Source organism: Homo sapiens, chromosome 12 (assembly GCF_000001405.40).
Source record: "Homo sapiens chromosome 12, GRCh38.p14 Primary Assembly".
NCBI lineage: Eukaryota > Metazoa > Chordata > Mammalia > Primates > Hominidae > Homo > Homo sapiens.
This window is the reverse complement of record NC_000012.12, coordinates 71959942-71984388: the sequence shown is the minus strand read 5'-3', so window position 1 is coordinate 71984388 and position 24447 is coordinate 71959942. Positions and strand designations below refer to the sequence as shown.

General features: G+C 40.4%; 1 protein-coding gene across 2 annotated transcripts in view; it reads right to left on the bottom strand.

Annotated features, from left to right (window-relative positions):
* Positions 1-24447, bottom strand: part of TPH2 (tryptophan hydroxylase 2) — a 93596-nt gene that overhangs the window by 48052 nt on the left and 21097 nt on the right. Inside the window, exons 6-7 of one of the 2 annotated variants that reach the window (NM_173353.4) lie at positions 11674-11870; positions 5302-5437 (exon numbers count right to left, since the gene is read on the bottom strand). In NM_173353.4, coding sequence (NP_775489.2) covers positions 5302-5437; positions 11674-11870 — 333 coding nt within the window. Of the gene's footprint in view, positions 1-5301; positions 5438-11673; positions 11871-18898; positions 20012-21575; positions 22837-24447 lie in introns of those variants that run through there. The other variant, XR_001748575.2, reaches the window with a different exon arrangement.

The following is a 24447-nucleotide window of genomic DNA, read 5'->3' as shown; positions in this document are numbered from 1 at the left end:
AAGAGAGGAGCAACCAAGCTTTCCTAATAAGCAAAAAATTCATTTACTTTACTTAGAAACGGATGAAAAATGTGTCAGAAATAATTCACTTTTATTTTTCTTATAAAATTAAACAGCGGCAATTATAAGAAAAATCACCTGACTGCAAAGCCTTTAAACAGTTATATTTAAAAATAACATTAATTGCCACTAAACTGGTCAACTGCAACAAAAAAGATGTTCCTTAATACAAATGTATTTCATTGTATTATGGCAATATAAGTTGCAATATTAGTCACTTGTGCCCTGAATTATTCCTCAATGCTGAAAGTTTGCTCTTTGATTTGAAAAGTGATGCCGGCAGAAAAGAAGAGATGTGTGGAATGGGAACAACACAGCAAAGGGTGCTGCTTTGGCATTAGAAATAGAACACCACACCCATATGGCCCAAGCTAGCCGCCAGTGATAAGAACTGTGAGTTATCGTTCCTACCTTGCAGACTGGGCTCTCACTTTGCCTTTTAAACAGACCACTGAGACATCTCACCATGAACCTTAAGGGGCCCACACACTGCTAGTTGCCAGGGTTTGTGCTATCTCTCTCTTTCTCTCTCTCTCTCTGTCTCTCTCTCTCTGTGTGTGTCTGTCTGTCTGTCTCTCTCTCTCTCTCTTTCTCTCTCTGCCTGACTCTCCATTCCTGATCCACAGGACCCAGGGTTGAAGGAGGACTGCTTTCCTGATACACTGCACCCTCTCTGCCTAGGATCTGCAAGTAACCCTGTTCTAAAAGATGAGGTGGACGGAGGGCATAGCATGAGAGAGCACACAATGGACTTCCCAGAGAGACAAAAAGGAGATCAGGGAGATTTAGAACTTCTCAAGATTTTGTTCTGCCACTGTACACATGCCAGGCGACGCTCACATGCCTACATAACTTGGAACTCTGCATCTTTCCCTCTCATTCCAGTGAGTGAGAGGGAAGGTTTATTGGAATAACTTTGAATTTGGCCCAATTGATTTTTTTTAAAGGAAATCATTTGCAAACTTCATTACCCAATTAGTAAGAACATTGCAACCACAGCTGATCAAAGCATGGAGCCAGGCAATACCGAAATGCAGATTCATTGCCTCAGGCACTGCTCAAAGGGAGAAAAAGCAAGAGTCCATTTCCTCTTCTAGCAGATCAGTGACCTTTCAATCCAGGCATTAATGCATAGAAAAGCAACTCCTCCCACCAGGAAAACCAGAAGTCACTAATTTGCCAGGGGTTCTTTATTGTCTTCCAGGCCAGAAAACTTTCCCCCAGGAAACCAGTCTAATCTGCCATCACTTTTTTTTTTTTATTTTTATAGATTCAGGGAGTCCATGTGCAGATTTGTTACAGGAATATATTGTGTGAAGGCAAGGTTTGGTTTCTAGTGTATCAGGTTTAGAGAAGCCAGAGTCTTTAAAACTGTAAAATGTAAAAAGAAGTCAAAGATATGTTTAAAATCCAATGTGTGTTGAAAGCTCTGATGGCAAAATACATTCTACCAGACTGAAAGGGAAAATAAAATTCTTTTTTCAGATAATGTATTTTTTGTTGCTTCATGCTCATTTCTACCTGGGTCTTCAGTGCTCACCTTTGTCTCATTAGCGCAGCCTCCACTACAACAGTTCAGCAACTGAAAGCAGTTATTTGGAAACACAGTACAAGCAGCAAACACAGTAGAGAAGTTGAACTTCATAAATTGGAGAATCTGCCCTCTAGTTGGTTTTCAATTGAGGAAATGGGATTTCATTACAAAGACAACGCCTGTGAAAGTGCTTGGGCAGGAAACAGCCCTCCCAGTATAGTACCCATAGATTCAAATTATGTGGCTGAGAAGGGACTTAGGACTTTGCAATATACAAGGATTAAAAAGATCTTTACAGAGAATTTTGTCTGCATAGTATATTTCTGGAAGGATGAAATGGAAACTAGTAGCAGTGGTTGCCTCTGGAGAGGATGCACTGGGTATCAAGGGGGCAGAGGATGGAAAGAAACTCACTGTTCACAGTATATACCTTTTAGTGAACTTTAAATTCTGAATTATGCATATGTATTACCTATTCATAAAGTAATAATTTTAAAAACCAAATGAATGGCCTGTAATCCCAGCACTTTAGGAGGTCGAGGCAGATGGATCACCTGAGGTCAGGAGTTCAAGACCAGCCTGGCCAATATAGCAAAACCCCGTCTCTACTAAAAACACAAAAAATTAGCTGGGTATGGTGTTGCACGCCTGTAACCCCAGCTACTGAGGAGGCTGAGGCAGGAGAATTGCTTGAATCCAGGAGGCAGAGGTTGCCGTGAGCTGAGATTGCACCACTACACCTGACAGAGTGAGACTCTGTCTAAAAAAAAAAAAAAAAATACGAATGATATGAAACCCACAAAAAATAAAGGGCTTGTAAAAACAACCCCAAGTGAGTGAATCCCAAGTTTCCATCCTCTGACTTAGTCTCCTCTTATCTGTGTAGTCATAGGAGACTTGGAAGAAAAATAACTACTCAAATCTATTGTGGGTGCTTTACATTCACTTCTGAGTTTATAATCTTTATTTGTAACTACCAGAAACTTCTCCATCTGGAGGTTCCAGCCATGGGCACCTCACAGACAAAATACCCCAAACCCAAATCCTCCTCTTCCCTCCCTCTTTCCTTTTCTCTTCCCTCCAAGCTTGATCCTCCTCCAATATTCTCAGTCATTATTAGAAATGACTTTCCACTCAGCTTCCCAAACAAAAACCTTAGCCCTACCTTAGGGGCCCTCCCCTCGTCTCACCCCTATTGTAGTCACTGGATATTGTTACTTCCATCTCTATGGTGTTAAGAGGGCATTAAATAGGTGCCCTCTTGTACTATACCTCTGACCTCATCTAGCTCCACACCTTTTGAACTATATTCCTTCATAGAATGTGAGCTCCCTAGCTGGTTTTCTGTGTTGTTCATTCTCAACAATTCCCCAGCCCTCACCCCCAGTCATTTTTCTCCAATACACTTACCTGACTATGCCTAAGAACCTTGGATAGCTCCCTGTTGCCTACAGAACTAAGTCCAAATGTCCTAGTTTGACAAATGGTCATTTATAACATGGCCTGAAGATACATTTCACCCCTAATACATAAACTGTATCCTGGCTATTCTGGTCTAACAAGCCTTGCACATGTATGCCTCTTGCGTGTCTCCACAACTTTGCACTTGCTGTTTCCCCTGACTTGCAAAGCCTCCCCTTCCCTCCCCGTCCAGCCTTGTACAAAAATGAAATTTCTGCTCATCCTTCCAGACTCCCACACAGGTTATACGTTCTCTGAAAAGCCTTTCAGGACTGTGCCTTCCTCTGTGCTCTCCAGCACTTTTTACACACACTAATTATAACCCTAACCACACTATTTCCTAATTATTTGTTTTTCTATCTCTGCTGCCAGAATGTGAACTGCTTTAAAAAAAATTTTTTTTAAAGCTACTATATTTTATTTATCTCTGAATCCACTGCACTGCCCTGCTAGCATTGCACATAAATGTTTGCTGAGTGAATTGGCCGAAAGTACTTTGGTAAAAATGTAACACATTATCCTCTGTGGCTAAAATCTCATTTCTTTGCCTCTCTCTCTCTCTCTGCATACCTATTGGCACGCTGTCACAGGTCTCAGGAGGGCCAGTTATTCAAAGGGAACTAACAAAGTGCCTTCTATTTGTAAACAAGGCCATTGGTAAACCCTCTGGGCTAGATTTAGAGATTGCCTTTCTAACTCTGACAGTGCTTCTTTGAGCACTCACTCCACTGAAAGAAGCATTTCTTTTCCAAATGTCTGGGGTCCTATAAGTAACCTCTGTTTACCCTGAAAACACTTTCAGGGAAGCTGAAAAAAGCTTAAAAAAAAAAATGTAGTGACCTGACAGGGACCTACCTGGACTGTGAGCCTTATGCCAGCCTAGGAAAATGAGGGGTGCTTCAGGGACTTGACTTACCCTTGCTCACTCCTACTACCATCAGCTACTTAACTGCTTGAACCTCAAAAGCTTCTCTGCTCCCCAGCGAAGACCATGGCAACCCATTAACCACAAGTGCATTCAAGTAAAGCAGCATCATAAGCAAAGCGATACCCTGAGTGGCCTGAAGAACAGTGGGGTAAGATTAAAGCAAGGCACTCATTTTAATGGAGCCCAGGAAGGCAAAAGAACCCAGAGCTCCCAGCCTCAGGGTCTTTGTTTTTGCTGTTCTTTCAGCCTGAAATTCTCCACCCCATCATATACACATTCAAGTCTTTGCTCAGATGTTTACCAAGAAGCTGTCCTGACCCAATCCAAAAAACAGCACCCAGGACTCTCCATCTCCTTGCCATGCTCTATTTGTCTTCACAGCACTTATTAGCACTTCATGGAAGCACTTACACCTGACACCATATTCCCTGTCTGTCTGTCTGTCTGTCTGTATGCTAACCATTGTCTTCACCATTCACCTGGAAGGGCAGGAATGCTGTCTCATTCCCAGACAATCCAAGCATGTAGTTGTCTCCCAGTAAATGCTTGTTACATATTTTAAAGCACTCAAAGAAATATGATACAGGGCATTTCACACTTGGAGACTGTACAATCCCACGTGTGATTAGGCCAAATGATTAACATGTGGGTGTTCCCAGCTTACTCCTGCTTCTTACCCATGTCAGAGCAGTATAGCATCACCTCTTAGCTTCTCTCCCCACTCCTAGCTTACCCATTGTCCAGGAGAGAATGGATAAAAGCCCCAAAGGAAAACTGACAGAATCAGAGAAGAATCACAAACCTCATCTATATCTGGAGGTGGCGGGCAGGACTAGAGAAGTGTTCAAGAAACTAAAATGGCAGGGAGAGCAAAGCACAGAGTTCTGAGTTTGGAGGTGACGAAAGAGATGAGAGGGGATTAGTAATGAGTTGCTATGGTGTGTGTACATGAACCTCCTTCACATGAAAGAGGCCTCCTAATGAGAGAGCCTCACATGTTCTGACCATGTGTCAGTGTCTACTTTACACTTCTGTGCCTTCTCTTCATCATCAGAAATGGAGATCTGGCCAAGCAGATGGCTCAGTGTTGGGATAAAGCTAGAGCATCGAGCCAGAGCTGGAATATCAGGGGCCCCCACGGACCCAGATGAGGAGTCTGATCCTTCAGTGAGCCCTTTTCTCTTTAGGTGAGTGATGTGACTCTCACTAGCTCAAGGAAATTAGTTTGGAGGTAAAACAGGGCCTAAGTCATTTTCAAGTAAAGGGATCATTGACCACTTTATGGTGTGGTGGCCTGGGCTTTAATGTAGGTACTCACGGTTCTGGGGTGTAGAGGGGATCTGAGCCATGCCGGATGTACTGGGTACAGTGGAACACTCTGTAGGCCAGTCCTGCCAGAAAGTCTCGTGGGCTCAGGTATCCAGCCACCGGCCTCACCGTGAAGCCAGACCTTTCTAAAAAGGCAACAGAAAAAGCCAACTAAATATTAACCCAGCAAGACTTGAGGGCCCAAGCAGGAGCTTCTACTATTTATAAGGAAGATCCAGAAACAAAGTAATCAAGGTCATAAACCTCTTGACAACTGAGTGACATATACTGTTAACAGCTATCATGTTTGGTGCTTCTGATGACTAAAATCACTCTCAAATGACGGTTTCCAGGAGAACAAAACATTCAAGAAAATGAAAAGAAGGGTGAAAAAAGTATTTAGAGATTTAAATTCAGAAGCCCAATTAGGATAAGAAATCTCAGATAAATTGATTACAATCGAAAGTGATGCTTACCGCACATTACCTGGTATCTTTCTAAGAGACATACCTAGGGATCTCTTCTGTGTGCATGTGTTCAGTGACACACAGCTAAGCACCCCCTTCACTAGCATCTTCAAATCAGTTCATACTGAGGCTTTCTATTGCCAATACCCGCTAACTCCTTCACTCTATATTGTTTTCTGTGATGTTATATAAATTATCATGATTTGAAGAGGTACACCAAAGCCCTGCTTGCTCTATTGGCTTATGGTAAGAGGAAACAAAGTAAGAATGCAATAAAGTCTATAAACCTGCCCTATACCACTAATTCAATTAGGTTGTGAGTCATCAGTGTTCTCAGTCTAAGGGCTACTTAATGTTTTCTTCTCAGGAAGGCCCAGAAAACTTAGAGCAGAAGGACTATTCTTTTTTTTTTTTTAAATATGCATTTTATTAAAATGTTGTATAGAGTCGTGCATTGCTTAACAATGGGGATACATTCTAGGAAATGCATTGTTAGGTGATTTTGTTGTGTAAATCTCATAGAGTGTACTCACACAAACCTAGATGGTACAGCCTACTCCTAGGCTACAAATCTGTACAACACATTACTATACTGAATACTGTAGGCAATTGTAACACATTAGTAAGTATTTGTGTCTCTAAACATATCTAACCATAGAAAAGGTACAGTGAAAATACAGTATTATAATCTGATAAGATCACCACTATGCATGAGGTCCATTGTTGACCGAACAGTATATATGTAGCACATGACTATTTTTAAATGGCTGCTTTATGTTCTGTTCTTTTCTCACAAGAGCAGTTCTGTTTTTTAATATAAATTGTATATATTTAAGGTGTATAACTTTATGTTTTGATACACACATACAATGAGTCCTCAACATCGTCGATAGGTTCTTGAAAATTGCGACTTTAAGTGAATGACATAAAGCAGTGCCCAGAATAACATCATTTCCTTCAACATTGTATTGTCATAATGTTGATGAGGGGAAAAATTGGTTTTGTTATACATCGTTTCACTTTAAGCCACAGGTTTCAAGAACCTATCGATGACGTTAAGTGAGGATTTACTGTAATAGTGAAATGATTACTACATTCAAGTTCATTAATATATCTTTCTTCTCATATAGTTATATGTGCACATGCGTGTGCGTGTGTCTGTGTGTGTGTGTGTGTGTGTGTAGTAAGAGCACATAAAATTTAGTAACAAATTTCCCTTATGTAATATGATATTATTAACTACAGTCCTCATGCAGTTCATTAAATCTCTAGATTACCAGGCACTGTGGCTCACACCTGTAATACCAGTACTTTAGGAGGCCAAGGTGGGTGGATGGTTTGAAGCCAGGACTTCGAGACCAACCTGGGCAACATGGCAAAACTTTTTATCTACTAAAAATAAAAAAATGAGCTGGCATAGACAGCACGCACCTGTAGTCCCAGCTACTCGGGGAATACAGGTGAGGCACAAGAATCGCTTGAGCCTAGGAGGTGGAGGTTGCAGTGAGCCGAGCTTACGCCACTGCACCCCAGCTTGGGCAACAGAGCAAGACTCTTATCTAAAAAATAATAATTATAAAAAAAGACCTCTAGACTTATTCATCCTATCTAACTGCAACTTTGTACTCTTTGACCAATATCTCCCCACTTACTCCACCTCCTGCCCCTTGTAACCACTGTTCTATTCTTCGCTTCTGTGTATTTAACTTTTCCAAATTCCACATATGAGATAATGCAGTATTTTTCTTTCTGTGTCTGGCTTATTTCATTTAGCATAACGTCCTGGAAGGCTATTCCTTTAACGCATTAGGAGAGTACCACACAATGGTTGAAAATGATCTTAAGAGGCAAGAACCAACTAAGCTTATAAAACAGGCCCATCCTGGGATTTCTGGTACCTGCTGGAAATAACCTGTTCTCAGGCCTCCTCAGACCCATAATTCGCACAGCACTATGTTCATTCCAAAAGCCTTCACTTTGGATTATTCCCCGGTGAATATCAAAAAGATAAGTGTATTTTCTTCTTTTTCCATATTACATCAATTAAGCCAGTATATCCCACATGTGGGACATATGTAACAGTACACAGAGGAACATTTTTTTTAATAGTTATGTATTTTATTTTTATGTGAATTAGAAAAAATATAAAACCATGACATCAAGAACTTTGAATCTGTAGATACCATTGCTTTAAAAGTTTCTGTTTTAAATAAATTAGGTATTTTAAAAGTGAGTCAATGAAATGATATAAGGACACCTATACTTACATCATACTATCTACATGCCAGTGCGTGATACAAACTAGGCGATATATCCAGTTCACCAAGGGTTGTGGAAAACAATAACAAAGGAAATAGCTAAGACTCTGCTATGCTTAATGTGTGTTAGGCACATTAGGCCTTTAAGGTATATCAATTAATTTCTCCTCTCAACCACCTTGTGAGGTAGATAAAATTACTATCTCCATTGACAGAGGAGGAAACAGAGACACAGAAAGGTTAAGGTGACTCTTCTAAGGTCACATAGCTAGGAAGGGGCAGAGTGGGGACTCAAGCCCTGACATTCTACATCCAGGGTCTATGGTCCAAGCCACTATACCATACTGCCTCTCATAAGAATATTAATTTGGGGGGCAAATACAACAGTATTTATGAGGTGATATTCTAACTATTGGGGTTTGGGGAACAATGCAGTAAAAAGCCATCTCGATATAAGGAGCTCTTGGTAAAGAGGTAATATGCATATAGCTCTGTGGGACACAAAGAAGAAGATGACAGGAGAATACAGTCTAGTTAACAACATAAGGCATGAGGTAATTAGGTGCTAATTAAGTGATACTGATCGGTAGTTCTCAATCTCTTTTCCTCAGTAACAAATATAGTAGATGATGTTCACACATAACATAGAATGAAATCAGAGTGGGAGAGATCATGGTGGCTTCTATAATCAAGATTCATGAAGGAGGCAGGACTTGCTCTGAGTCCTGAAGAATAGGTAGAATTTGAGTAGGTGGAGAAGAGATGAAATTTTCTAGTAAGGAACAGAGTTTAAGCAACGGTAAAGAGAGCCCACAGCAAGGGCAGAGGATTTGTACAGGGCAGTTGCAGCAGGAAACTAACTTGGAAACCTGGGTCAGGGCCTCACATTGAGGCTGAGCTGTTCAGACTTGAGCGTGTAAAACAGAGATCAGCAAACTATCACCTGGAGGCCAAATCCAGCCCACTGCCTGTTTTTGTACACCCCAACAGTGAGAATAGTTTTGTTTGTTTGTTCATTTGTTTGTTTTGAGACAGAGTCCCACTCTGTCACCCAGGCTGGAGTGCAGTGGCGTGATCTCAGCTCACTACATCTTCTGCCTCCCAAGTTCAAGTGATTCTCATGCCTCAGCCCCACAAGTAGCTAGGACTGCAGGCGCCCACCACCACGCCCAGCCAATTTTTGTATTTTCAGTAGACAGGGTTTCACCATGTTGGCCAGGCTGGTCTCGAACTCCTGACCTCAAGTGATCCGCCTGCCTTGGCCTCCCCATGTGCTGAGGTGTGAGCCACTGTGCCTAGCCAGTTTTTATATTTTTAATAGACACATTAAAATGGCTATAAAAGTACCTATATAATAGCCTTGATTTTGCCTCTTGGCCCGAAAAGCCTAAAATATTTACCAACTGGCCTTTTACAAAAAAAATTTGCCAGTCCCAGTGAAAACAAGAGGGAGCCAATGATAGTTTCTGAGCAGAGATGTCAGAAAAAAAAGTAATATTTTAGAAAGTAACATCTATGGGCAGTGGGCAGGAGAGTTAAGGGAAGAAAATATAGGCATCAAGGTTATAAAATGATGAGGACATCAATTTGGATGATAGCAGTAGAACAGAAAGGAAAAGGACAGATTTACCACATGTCATGAAGCCATAAGTGGCAATAGGGGGAGATTGTGGTAGGCTAAGTAATGGCCCCCCAAGGATGCCTATGTCTTAATCTCCTGAATCTGTGAGTATGTGACCTTACATGGCAAAAGAGACTTTGCAGATGTTATTAACTTAAGGATCTTGAGATGGAGAGACTGTCCTAGATAATTCGGGTGGGGCCAATATAATCATAAGAGTCCTTATCAGAGGGAGGCAGAAGGGTCAGAGTCAGAGAAGGAGATGTGACAATGGAAGCAAGAGGTTGGAGTGATGCAAAGAAGAGTCCACGAGCCAAGGAATGCAGGAGGACTCTAGAAGCTGGGAAAGGCCAGGGCACAGAAGCCACCAGAAGGAATGAGCCCTGTCAACACCCTGATTTTAGACTTCTTAGCTCCAGAGCTGTGAGATAACTCGTGTTGTTTTAAGTCACAAAGTTTGTGGTAATGTGTTGTTACAGCTATAATTGGACACTAACACAAAGAAGGACTGAGTATGGGATTGGGGGATAAAGTGGGTAGGAATTCAGGGGAGTCCTTAGAGGCAAGCCTGATGAGTTTAGAAAAAACAGTACTGATAGAAACTGAGAAGACAAGCAAGAAAGCAAGTTCCAGGAAAGAGAGCAGGCAATGAAGTTTTTGCTTTTGGAACTACTGCACTTGAAAGAAGAGAGAGAAAAGGGCAGAGAATCCAAGGACTTAAGCACAAGGAAAAACAGAGGAGAAAGCGGGACCACCGTGAAACTTTGCCTCTTCCCCCAACCCCTCACAAGCCTATTTCCCAGCTATTGTTCCAAGGAGGTGTTGTCAGTGAAGGGACCCACAGAGAGTGTGAAATGATGTCACTGTATGATTCATTGGGTTCACTAGTGTAACATCAGCAACAAGTACAATCCCTGACACACAAATTATAATGTAAAGTATTGATCAATTAGTTGATTGATTTATTGACTAGTTGTGTGACCAGAAAGGGGTCCCATTCCAGACCCCAAGTGAGGATTCTTGGATCTCACGCAAAGAATTCAAAGTGAGTGAGTCCGTAAAGTGAAAGCAAGTTTATTAAGAAAGTCAAGGAATAAAAGAATGATTACTCTATAGGCAGAGCTGTGGAATGGATCGCTGGTTGCCCATTTTTATGGTTACTTCTTGATTATATGCTAAACAAGGAATGGATTATTCATGAGTTTTCTAGGAAAGGGGTGGGCAATTCCCAGAACTGAGGGTTCCTCCCCTTTTTAGGCTATATAGGGTAATTTCCCGACATTGCCATGGCATCTGTAAACTGTCACGGCACTGGTGGGAGGGTCTTTTAGCATGCCAATGCCTTATGATTAGTGTATAACGAGGAGTGAGAATGACCAGAGGTCACTCTCATCGTCATCTTGGTTTTGATAGGTTTTGGCTGGCTTCTTGACTGCAACCTGTTTTATCAGCAAGGTCTTTATGACCTGTATCTTGTGCTGACCTCCTATCTCATCCTGTGACTTAGAATGCCTTACCTCCTGTGAATGCAGCCCAATAAGTCTCAGCCTGATTCTACCCAGCCCCTATTCAAGAAGGAGTTGCTCTGGTCCAAACGTCTCTGACAGTTGCCTGATTTCTCCTAGAGGAAAGTCACTAATATTCAACATTATCCATAAAATATCATCATTCAGTACATACTTTTTAACAAAGCAAATAAAAAGGCACTTTTGGAGGTCATTTCATACTCATGTAGCCCAGCACAGCAGCTCCTGGATCAGAAAAAGCTCAGAGCTGAACTTGCAAATATCCTTTGGGCCTTACCATTTACAACAACCAGCCACAAAGAGGCCTCAGCAAGCTCCTGAGCTGCAAAAGCAGCTGAGTCCCTTGCTCTGCTTCCCACAGGTGGCCGCAGGTAATTGTTGGCTCAAAGCCAACAATTTTTTAAATCACTGTTTTTCCTTTTTTGGAAAAAGAGCCATTGCTGCAACCTGTGTCCTTGGAAGGCAATTGAGGATATTGACTAATAAGAGACAGCCTGTGTGAAATCTTACCTTTCAGAAACATGGAGACATCTTCGAGTTGAGGCACATTGTCCTCTCTGTAGCCACAGTATTTAGTCAGCAGAGGGAAGTTTTTCAAATACTCTCGGCAAGCATGAGTGGGATAGAGTTTGGAGAGCTCCCGGAATACAACACCCCAAGTTTTAGTTTCTTCTTCAGTATACTCCACCCTGGGAATGGGCTGACCACTAGGCAGGAGAGAAGAAACTAAATGAATCTAACTTTGAATCACTGAGTTAAGTATTTTCTCACCTCAATACCTATCACAAGTCAGACCCTGGCAAAGTGGAGCACATGAGCGTCTGAAAGGATCCCATTAAGTATTATTTTTTAAAGCAAATGCTAACCTTCTAATGTTGTGCATGTGTATTTGAATTTCCATATAAATTATTTTTTAATTCAGTTATATCTTCATGCATCCTTAGAGAAATGTGATAAGATTTATGTTCTTAAACTGAGGTCAGTAACAAGTAATAGTTACGGGTTGGAAGGAACTGGTTTAGGTACAAAACTATTCTCTGAGAGCATTTTCTGCAAACACCTAACAACAGTAATAAATGTTTTCTCTCTTAAAAATAAAATTGCTTTATGGGTTCTTTTTGTCCCTTGCCCAGACTCACTCCAATCTTCAAGTGTAATTTTGAGATTATTTGTTCAGTGTCCAAAATGTCTGGGAGATACTGAAAGACTATGCTGAATTTAAAAGTGAAAGTTTTGCAAACCAAAAAATAAGGAGCATTCATTGCAGGTCATGCTGAAAGATACACACATTAAGCCCCCTCAATTTAGGATGAGGTCAGCAAACTTTTTCTGTAAAGAGCCAAAAAGTAAATATTTTAGGCTTGTGGGTCATATGGTCTCTGTCACAACTGTTCAATTCTGCCACTATATCTCAAAAGCAACCATGCACAATAACAAATGGATATAGGTGTATTTTAATAAAAATTGTCTTTATTTGGCCCATAAACAGTAGTGTACTAGTGACTGGTTTAGAATATTGAGACACCGTGCTGGACTGAAGTAGTCAGAGAGAGCTTCCTGGAGGAGGCACAACTTGAGTTGAGACTTCTTGGCCAGGTAAAGACCTGCAGGTTCCGACAAAAAGAAAGTCAGGAGAAACTGGTGCTCTAATATAATAGCAGCCAGCAGCCACAGGCAAGGAATATACCTCGTGCTGCAACCAGGGATGGGTAGAAGGAGGAGAATACAAACATGTGCTTTTGTAAGCTATTGCTTGAGGGACCCAAATCTGAATTTAGCCTCTGATTAAGATACCTATTCTGAAACTCAGGATTTGAGAAAACCTCTCATGACATACTCAACAGCCACCTGCAGCACGCCCTCACTTCCCACCCTGGCCATGTGTCAGAAATTCTGCCTCTGCAATTAGCAAATATACACGTACAACATATGGAAGTCCAAACATATGCACGTAAAACTAGGAGTTGTGCCCCTGCAATCTACAAATCCAGCCTGTAGCAGGTGGTCACTACAGGAACCCATGCATAGACAGCAACTGTCACTCAGGGTTGCTGCAGTGAGAGGGGCATCTTCAATGAGCTAGGATCATTCAGTAGCACCCCTGAGGTAGAGAAAAATGAGATAGAGGACTATAACAAGAATAGGCTATCAAACAGATCCCCTAGCTGCCTTCCTCCTCCCCAACCCTCTACATATTTCAGTGTTCTCGGCAAAATAGTTTCTGTTTAAAGTTCAGGTCCAAATGGAGTTTCTCCTGCCCCCAAATTATTTTTGTTTAAAAAAAATTAATTGCAGTACATGAGGGATAAGGGAATAACACATACTGAAGAAAAAAACAGAAATTCACATTTGCTTTCTCTGAATACCAAGACTAGGTCTTCCACAAACCAAATTAGAGCAAGATTAGCCTTGTTTAAATTTGGCTGTTGATAACAAATAAAAAATTACAACCTGGCAAATATTTGCTGGGAAGATCAAGGCTTCTAAGACCTCACACCTGTGATGAATTTAGAATGAAAGCTTGAAATGAAAAGACAAAAATAGAAAAGATGTAAGGAAATAAGTATATAAATGGTCTGCCTCTGGTTCCAGAAAATTCAACTAAATCTGTTTGAGTTGGGTAAGCCAGTAAAGCTAATAAGGGCTGTGCATGATCAGAAGGTAGGAAAGCAATGAGGCTGAGACAATAAAGGAAATATTGAGAAGCCACTTGAGAAGAATCGTTAGGTCAAAATTTTCCCTTCAACATCAATCTGCAAACATGCAGCACTTCAGAGGGGACCTGAATATTCAACAGGCAGAATGAGATCAAGTGTAAATTAGGATAGGAAGAAATTGTTATACAGGTCTGTTACTTAATAATGAACTTCCAGCCTCGCAGTCTTGGGAATATGAGTGGTCATGTATGTTGTCAACTGTTCTGTTTGTCTCTCCTGGATAACTTGTCCTGCTCTTTGAGTTAAAAACCGGTGCAATGCACTGCTCCTACCCTAAACCCAAGTAAGTCGGCCTCCGGTCATATCAACAGATTTCTCATACCACTCTAACCCCACACCCCAGGTAACTCTTTAAGGTAAATATTTAAAAATCAATTTGATCTCAAAGTAAATACTAGTTTTATCTACTTCGTTTCTGTTGAAAATATCCAAAATACAGAAAAAATCAGAAATTTTCCATTTTTCTATGTAGTTAATACAAGCATACAGTAACAGCTGATATTTGAGAGCTTACTATGTGCCAGGCATATGTTTAAGGTTAAGTGTTTTTATATGAATTGGCCCATTTGATTCTCACAATTCCATGAGGTAGATACTGTTATTATCTCCATTTTATGGATGAGGAAAGTGAGGCTCAGAGAAATTAAGCTGCTTGTCTAAAATCATGGATTCAGGCTTAAAACCTAGTCAGTCTAGCTGAAGACTGGCTGTAATCTTAATGGATTAGTATACACAAATTAAATGAAAAATTGTACTCCAGACTGATGGAGTAAAATTGATTTTTCACATCCCAACTTATTTTTCACATACCAAACTAAAATAAGGTTTATAGGTATGTGTATTCATATGTAGAAAATCTCATATACAATTATATGTCATAGTAGGATATATTTGTAGATCACAAAGAGTACTTTCATCTTTATTCACTCATTTAACCTTCCCAGTAAGACTGTGAGGTTTTACCTGGCTCCTCAACAAAACAAACATGTGTTTGGGGCACCAGGAATGCAGGGCACTCACATTTTTTTAGGACTTTGAAATTTGACATTTGAGAAAAAAATCATAGTCATGAGGAAAATCAGAATGTGTTGTATTTCTTTGAATTTGTTATGGGTTAGTGGGTTTTTTGTAAATCACGTATGAGAAGGGAGCCAGAGGGGTGCCCTGGTCTTTTCAAGGCCTTCGATATATCCTTGTATATCATTATGTATCTTTCTTTCTTTTTTGAGATGGAGTCTTGCCCTGTCGCCCAGGCTGGAGTGCAGTGGTGTAATCCCGGCTCACTGCAAGCTCCGCCTCCCGGGTTCACGCCATTCTCCTGCCTCAGCCTCCGGGGTAGCTGGGACTACAGGCGCCCGCCACCACGCCCGGCTAATTTTTTGTATTTTTAGTAGAGATGGGGTTTCACCGTGTTAGCCAAGATGATCTCGATCTCCTGACCTCGTGATCCGCCCGCCTCGGCCTCCCAAAGTGCTGGGATTACAGGCGTGAGCCAGCCGCTTCCGGCCCGTTATGCATCTTTCTATGGGCCTATGTTGTAATGTATATATATAACAGAAGTCATATTCCAACATCCTACAACTACGCTCTGGTCCAAAACTAAAGTTACGTAAGGACTCCACATTCTAGAGAAATTCCCCAGCAGCTGAAGCCAACCATCTCCTTACAGGGCTTGGTGAGAGGCAGCACAAATGGCCCTATCACCAACAAATTCCTCCTGTACCACCTGTACCACACTCTCCCCAGACCTCATCCACCAGCCTACTAGGGAATCAGAGATGCTCAGCATTGTGAGGAGGTCAGTGTTTGAGGGAAAGGGCAGTTTCTTTCCTCCTCTCAAAGTCAAGACAGCAGGCTGCTCCCTGAGAGCGCACCTGCGAGAAGTGGAGTAGGGCACTTTCTTTCCCAACCGGACCCTTACTGGGCAGCAGGATCCAGGCCTCCAGGTGCTGCCACCACTTCAGAGCAGGGGACCGACAGTCCCTGGGAGAGTGTCTGGAGGCCTGGGAGGATGGTGTACCACGGGGAGCCTGGACATACGTCCTCTGAAATTTGAGGTTCACGTGAACATGAAGTCTAATGCCCAGCAAAGTCTAGACATTTATGTGGGACCCAATGTGGTGTGCCTGCGAGAAAGATGGAAAAGTCCCACGCCATCCAGTTCTGCTCAGTTCTCAGGAGGCAGAAGACACCACAGTGGTCCCCATCACCGTCATGAAGAAGCTCTGAGGGCTGCCCCAGCTATGGTATGTCACTGACAAGGCCAAGGGAGGCAGAGCACATTTCTGCAGCTGTGGAGGTGAGGGAGTGGTCTCCCCCAGGAAAACTATGCCTAACACCATTTCAGCAGAGAACACTCTATCGAAAGGGATTTGTCAGAACCAGGGTGAGTGTGGCCTGAGACCTACTCACCACTGACATTCCAGCAAGCATGTAAAAGGGCCTCAGCCTCCTCCCTCCCTCCTCGCAGCCCCCAACTCTAGAAGAAATAGGTCTTAGAGAAGGGAAGGAAAAGTGTCTCAGAACCAGAGAACTCCCCAAAAAACACATGCACATCCACACACATTCACTCCAAATAACTGCGGGAGAGGGAGGATACACTTTGAATCAAGTTTGAGATTAATATTTTTTAAATGAAAAAGACCAGGTCTTAAATACCCAAATGAGACTATACTAATAATTGAAAATGACAGGAAATTAGATGTTGCTAAGGAACTTGCTTCCCAGCAGGAAAGTAGAATTCAACTCAATACAGTTGAAAGTAAAGAGTGGGAAAAATAAAACCATTTTATGTTGCTACAAGATAATACTCCTCAACAGACTAATTATATGTAAATATTATAATTGGATATCTAGAAAGTCTCCTGCATTTATATGGAATTTGTTAGGATTACAGCATTCTCAACAACCACCAAAATTATAATTCACAGGTTCTTAATTTACTGGAGAAAAACAAATGGGACTTTCAGTAGTTTCCATTCACTGTAGATTCTGCCTTCTTGTCAAAGAATGGCAAACTAAGATTGTATGAGCATCGATATGGAACCAGTGTTCAGCGACGGCAGTACTAGAAAGAAGCTAAGATGGTCACCATGGGGATGTCAACTTGAAAACAGGGAAAACTCTCTGGTGGATTATGTTACTCAGAGATGACTAAGAACTTTCTTTGAGAATATTGAAGGCTGTGGGAGGCATCTGTCTGCCTGTATGGTTAAACCCCACTCTTCCTAGAGAAAAGGAGATGATTCTGAAAAACCAGCCTTGTGCCTGCAGAGAAGAAGGAGTGGAAAGTGCATAGACAAATCTAATTGAGGGCAGGTATAGATACAGTTATTTTGTGTGAGTCCTGAGCTTATTAGACTGAAGTTGTTTAACAAACACATTTTTGACTCAGAAATTCAGGGACATATACCCCACTGAGACTGAAATTTTGGAAGTTCTTTCTACAGCCAGATGAATAAGCAACAATGATTTCATTTTGTTTAACTATTATTTGATCTTCTCCTCCAGCGGTCCAACAGCAAGCTATTTTTCTTACACATTTTTTTTAATTAGGGGAATTGGAAAATACTCTGTTGTGATGCTATATCCTGGCTGCCTCCTGGAGTCCTTGCTGCTAGAATTCATAATATGAGATGCAGTTTCTCAGCTTGTGTTATCTTTAGAAGAACTTCAGTGTGGGGAAGCAATTCACTTATTCATTGGAGGAAGATGTGACAGGCTGCAATTGATAGTATTTACATCAAGATGGCAAGACTGTCTGAATCACAACACCAATTGTGTTCTTTGAAAACAGCCGGATTTTCTCAGTGGCAAGGAGCAAACAGAGCAGAAGATAACAGAGAATTGGGTAAGGGAATGGGTGAATCTGATAGAAATAGTTAAGAATGAACTCATTTACTATTTTATTTCATTACATGTTCCTTAGGGCAGGAGATGCCTCACTTATTCAAGAGATGTTTATCTGCCTGGAATAGACTGTCCCTCTCATCTTTTCTTTCCTTCCCCACCTTTGGTGTTTCTGTCTTGATTGACATTTCTACCTGGCGGTTGGAGAAAACAAAGAAGAGCTTAAATGCATCAACTTTGCAACTCATTAGAAATTAGCAGCTCATTGGCATGTTCTGCATATGTATCTCAGAACTTAAAGTATAATAAAATATGTATAATTTTACTGTATGTAAACTATACCTTAATTTCTAAAGTGTAACTTATGGTGTTGAATCAATAAAACCACAGAATCCTTTAAAAAAAAAAAGATTTAGACAGGGCCTTTGAAGAAAGATTATGGGAACATCAAGGCTAGTGGTCTCTTGTTCCTTCTTGATTTTTCAGATGCCTTTGTTGCACTCCTCAATAAATATACCCTGAATTTGGCATAATTTCCAGAGAGCTATTTGTAATTTATCCCCTTTCCTTCTTATTCAAGAAAGCACCTAAGAATATAGAAGACTGAGGTTGACATTATTCTAACATTATTATAAGAATAACCTTATTTTTAATCTAATGTAACCTTTTAAAGGAATTCATCACTCAAGATACATTAAAGACCTAAATGTAAAACCCAACACTATAAAATCCCTAGAAGAAAACCTAGGCAGTACCCTCTTGGATATGGGAACAGGCAAAGATTTCATGACAAAGACACCAAAAGCAATTGCAACAAAAGCAAAAATTGGCAAGTGGGATCTAATTAAACTTAACTGCTTCTGCGCAGCAAAAGGAACTACCAACAGAGTAAATGGATGACCTACAGAATAGGAGAAAATATTTGCAAACTATGCATCTGACAAAGGTCTAATATCCAGCATCTATAAGGAACTTAAACCAATTTATTAAATTGGTGCAAAAGTAATTGCAGTTTCTAACAGAAGAGAAAAACAACCTCATTAAAAAGTGAGCAAAGGACATGAACATTTTCAAAAGAAGGCATACATGCAGCCAATAATCATATGAAAAATAGCTCAACATCACTGATCATTAGAGAAATGCAAATCAAAACCACACTGAGACCATCTCACACCAGTCAGAATGTTTATTATTTAAAAGTCAAAAAAATAACAGATGCTGGCAAGGTTGCAGAGAAAAGGAAACACTTATACACTGTTGGTGGGAGTGTAAATTAGTTCAACCATTGTGGAAAGCAGTATGGCCATTCATCAAAGAGCTAAAAGCAGAATTACCATTCAACCTAGCAATCCCGTTACTGAGTATATACCCAGAGGAATATAAATCATTCTATCATCAAGACACATGCATGCGGAAGTTCACTGCAGCACTATTTACAATAGCAAAGACACAGAATCAACCTACATGTCCATCAGTGACAGATTGCATGAGAAAAATGTGGTACATATACACGATGGAATACTATGCAGCCATAAAAAAATGAGATAATGTCTTTTGCAGCAACATGGATGGAGCTGGAGGCTATTATCCTTAGCAAACTAATGAAGGAACAGAAAACTAAATACTGCATGTTCTCACTTGTAAGTGGGAGCTAAATGATAAGAACTTATGAACACAAAGAAGGAAACCACAGACACTGGGGTCTCCTGGAGGGTGGAGGGTGAGAGGAGGGTGAGGAGCAGGAAAGTAAACTATTGGGTACTAGGCTTAACACCTGGGTGATGAAATAATATGTACAACAAAACCCCATGACATGTGTTTACCTATGTAACAAACCTTCACATGTACCCCTAAACCTAAAGTAAAAGTTAAAAAAAAAATTCATCATCACAAAATTTATAATTAACTCTTATCAAGCATTTGTTGCATGTCTCACAACTGAGGTGTCACACCAGGTGTGTAGAAATTTCAATCAGTAATTGATGACTCTCATTTTTAGCCAGTAACCATAGTGTTACCTAGTACTATATTAGTTGGTACCACCTTCATGAAATAGTATCACCTGCATCCAGGTGTCTACAATATACAGCCAAATACTCAATGAGTATTCAAGAAGATGGCTTATGCCTCTGAGACTGGAAAAATATTGCCAGAATATATATATATATTCTGCATCAACTAAAAATACAAAAATACTAAAAATACTAAAATTAACCGGGCATGGTGGCGTGTGCCTATAATTCCAGCTACTAGAGAGACTGAGGCAGGAGAATCGCTTGAACCCAGGAGGCGGAGGTTGTAGTGAGCTGAGATCGTGCCACTGTACCTCAGCCTGGACGACAGAGACCCCATCTCAAAACAAAACAACTATATATATATTTTTTCTGAATATTGCCAGAATGCTATATATACTAATATATAATATATAATAAGCATATATATACTAATATATATAAGTGTATATATATGCCCAGAATATTATCAGTATGTATGTGCATATATATATACATTTTTTTAAATCCCATTCCATTATCTTCCATTGATTTGCTTTCTCAGGTTTTGAATGAAACTGAGATATATGTGGCTGTTTGGGTACTTTGTGACTCCTGCATAAACACCAGTTGTTGATGCTTTAATTTCTCTGAAATGGTTTCTCCTTTTTGCTTTTCAGGCTTGCTGGGTTTCAACAAGAAGTCTCAGCATTTCAAATATGCTGAGACTTCTGTAAAGAGAAGAATAATTTTTTAAAAACCCAAGTCACTTAATTCGATTGGTCTTGTTTTCAACCTGTGTGTCATACCACCTATGTCAAATGGAAGTTGCTAAGCAGATTTTTTTTTTTTTTTTTTTTGAGACAGAATCTGACTCTGTCACCCAGGCTGGAGTGCAGTGGCACGATCTCAGCTCACTGCAACTTCTGCCTCCCAGGTTCAAGCAATTCTTCTGCCTCAGCCTCCTGAGTAGCTGGGACTATAGGCGCGTGCCACCACACCTGGCTAATTTTTGTATTTTTAGTAGAGACAGGGTTTCACCATATTGGCCAGGCTGGTCTTGAACTCCTGACCTCGTGATCCGCCCACCTCGGCCTCCCAAAGAGCTGGGATTACAGGTGTGAGCCAAAGTATCCAGCCACTAAGCAGATTTTTTAAAAACGAAAACATGTGGCCTCTTGGGCAGTACATATATGTGTGTATATACATACATATATATATATATGTATGTATATACACACACTAATACATAGTATTAGTACATATATAATATATATAGCTATATATATATTATATATATACACACAGTAAATGGAGTTGATGATGAATTCTAATTAAGGTTTAACCGTAAAGCAAATGTAATTTTTATTTACTGACTTCCAAGAATTCATAAGAAAAGTCTGGGAGTCCTGCGTTTGATAAAATTAGACTTCAGGATTCAGACCATAAAGGACACTCAATAAATTTATGATAAAATATTATCAGTAATGCCCGGGGCAAAAAAGCAAAAAGTAAAATATTCAAAATATTACTCTGCTAAATGTGTCTCCCTATTAGGATATACAGTTTTTGAAGGCAGAGATTTTTGTTGCTGTGTTCATTTTTGTATCCCTGCTACCCAGGGTGGAGCCTGGAATGCAGAGGTGTTCAGGCCAGGCACGGTGGCTCACATCTGTAATCCCGGCACTCTGGGAGGCCGAGGCGGGTGGATCACCTGAGGTCAGGGGGTCAAGACCAGCCTGGCCAACATGGTGAAACCCCGTCTCTACTAAAAATACAAAAATTAACCAGGCATGGTGGCGTGTGCCTGTAATTCCAGCTAATAGAGAGGCTGAGGCAGGAGAATCGCTTGAACCCAGGAGGCGGAGGTTGCAGTGAGCTGAGATCGTGCCACTGCACCTCAGCTTGGATGACAGATACTCTATCTCAAAACAAAACAAAACAAAACAAAAAAATAATATTTGTTAAGTGAGTAAATCAATCAATCAGCCTAAAGCAAAACACAGATTTAAATGTTAGGGAAAAAATAGTTATGCCTCAGAGAGTCTGGCAGGTATGTATTTGTCTTGCCTCATATATTTCAATTACTATGCAAAAAGCAAAGATTCAGGATTGTAACAAACTTTCTGGTAGCCTCCAATTATTCCTATGTACAATTTACATATAAGGGTTTCTTTTTTCTAATTTTCTCAATTCAGTTTTCCTGACCCTTATCTAGACATCATCACTCAGTCACACTTGTAACCAAAATTTTCACCAGGAAAGAAAGCAGCATATGTAAACCCAAAGGGACAGAAAAGTCCGAACTTAACTAAATACAGAGATGTTTCCTTGGCTGAACATTGTAATGAATGAACTTCAAAAACATTTCCAAGGCTACAGAGCACAATGATTTAATAATATTTTTTTACAAACAAAAACTCACAAATCAGTACAGCAACTTAACAACCATCTAAATGATGCCTGAATTTCAAAACATTCAAGTCATCTGACATACGTGGCTTGACGGGGACTCATCTGTAGAGGAGGTTAGGAGCCCCACGACTGCTAAGCCACGCCATAGAGTAAACATAAAGGCATAAACGCATTTTCAGCTAGTCCCCTAGGCCAGTCAGGTAAAGAGCATTTGCGATCACATATTTTATTTGCTTTTGCAAATGAGTTTTGCACACATGAATTTTCGTAAATGAGTCTACGGGCCTTAAGGAACTTTCAGATGGGAGCAAACAAAAACATTAGTTTGTTTTGTTCGCGTTGTTAATATTGGTGCTGCCTTTACAAGAGACGTAATGAAAATAAACTACTGCACCTAAGGAGCCTCAGGGAGAACAAAGATTTAACTCCTAGAAATTATTTGTTTTTATTTGTCCTGTGCACCACAGGATAGGGCTTCCCACTATTTTCTCACCTTGCAGAAAGTCCTCTTCATATTCTAGAGAAGTGATTTTCATCTGCAAAAACTATCATGAAATTAAATATCAACAGCAACAACAATGGATCTAACATCCATCAATATGTGCACGCTCAACATACACAAGGAGCTTGAGCTCAAAGAACTTGATACAGAAAAGAGCTGAAATTCCCAGTCGCCAATAGCAGCTAACAGTCTTGGGCCACTAGAATGAAGATTCACAAAGAATGAAGAGTCACAGATTTAATCAGATACATCTTGCACCTTGTTTGAAAGAGACAGAACACAGCTAACTACTAGGCCCTATCTTTTTCAGAGTGATAGATGAAGAAGCGTGATTATCCTACAGCTCATGGTCTTGTGCAAATTAATAACAGCATTCATTTATTCACCCACCCATTTCACTGTGACAATAACAATACTATAATAGTTCATTACATGGATTATGTCATATAATGCTTATCCCACAGAGTGACTAAATGACTATTCATGTCCTCACTTAACTGTTGAAGAAACTGAGGCTTACAAATGTAATAATCTGTCCAAGATCAAACAGCTAGTAAGTACAATAGTGGGGACTCAGCTATAGGAAGGCTAGCTCTAGAGACCCCACTCTTGACCAATACACATCAGTACAAGGTACTGAGTACCCAATATGTACCTAGCATCAAGGTTTGGCCTCCGTTTCCTCATTCGAAACTGAGGGAAATAAGACTTCTCACATCGTGAGGATCAAATGAGAGGTCATCTGTAAAACATCCTGGCCAGTGCCTAGTGCCTAATAGGTACTCAATATAGTTGATTCTCTTCCTCCAGGTGTATAAAAATGAATAAAATTTCATCACTTCCCTGCAGGGTTGGAAACAGGTCTGGAGATGACAAAACAGCACTGTTCCATATAAATCCATTCACCTCTCAAGCAGGACTTGTGGAAGTAATTCGAATCCTTCATGTTCATGAAAATCATTTTAAAGTAAAAATACTCATACCTCTTTCCCTGTGAAATACATTAGAATTTGGTGCAACTGTTGTCCTTGTCAGTAAGTGATACAGGACCATATTGCGTTAATGTTTTCCACAGCTGTGGGAGCCATGCTATAATCAGACAACATCCTACTGAGGCATTCACACACATCTAAAAAACCCACCAAGCCCAAAAAGCAAAAAGGAGAAACCTTTTCCAAATCAATTTTCCCTTTTGTCTTTCTTTGCAACTCTCAGGCTCCCTTCCTTTCAGCCACTGAGCTGCGCTTCAGGTAGAGAGAAACACTTGGCATGAAAATGATTCTCCCATAAAGCCTGAAGTATTTTAAATACTTATAAGAACTGTGCATTTCAAATACACTAAGACTTCTGTAAAGAGAAGGATAACTTTATAAAAACCCAAGTCACTTAATTCTATTGGTCTTGTTTTCAACCTGTGTGTGATACCACCTATGTCAAATGGAAGTTGCTAAGCAGATTTTTTAAAAAAGAAAAGACGTGGCATCTTGGGCAGAGAAAGATATTTGAATTCTACAGGAGAAGCACTCTAAAAATCCCTAATATGACCTTCCTCAGAAACTATCCTATTCATCTGGGAAATGACCCCAGTACTACAAATATTTGGTTTTGTTCTACTTTTCAATTTACCGCTTCATTTCAGAGAAATTAAAGCATCAACAACTAGTGTTTATGCAGGAGTCACAAAGTACCCAAACAGCCACATATATCTCAGTTTCATTCAAAACCTGAGAAAGCAAATCAATGGAAGATAATGGAATGGGATAAAATTAGCTCAGTCAGGGAGAAAACATATTTGCCTTCTAAGGTGCCT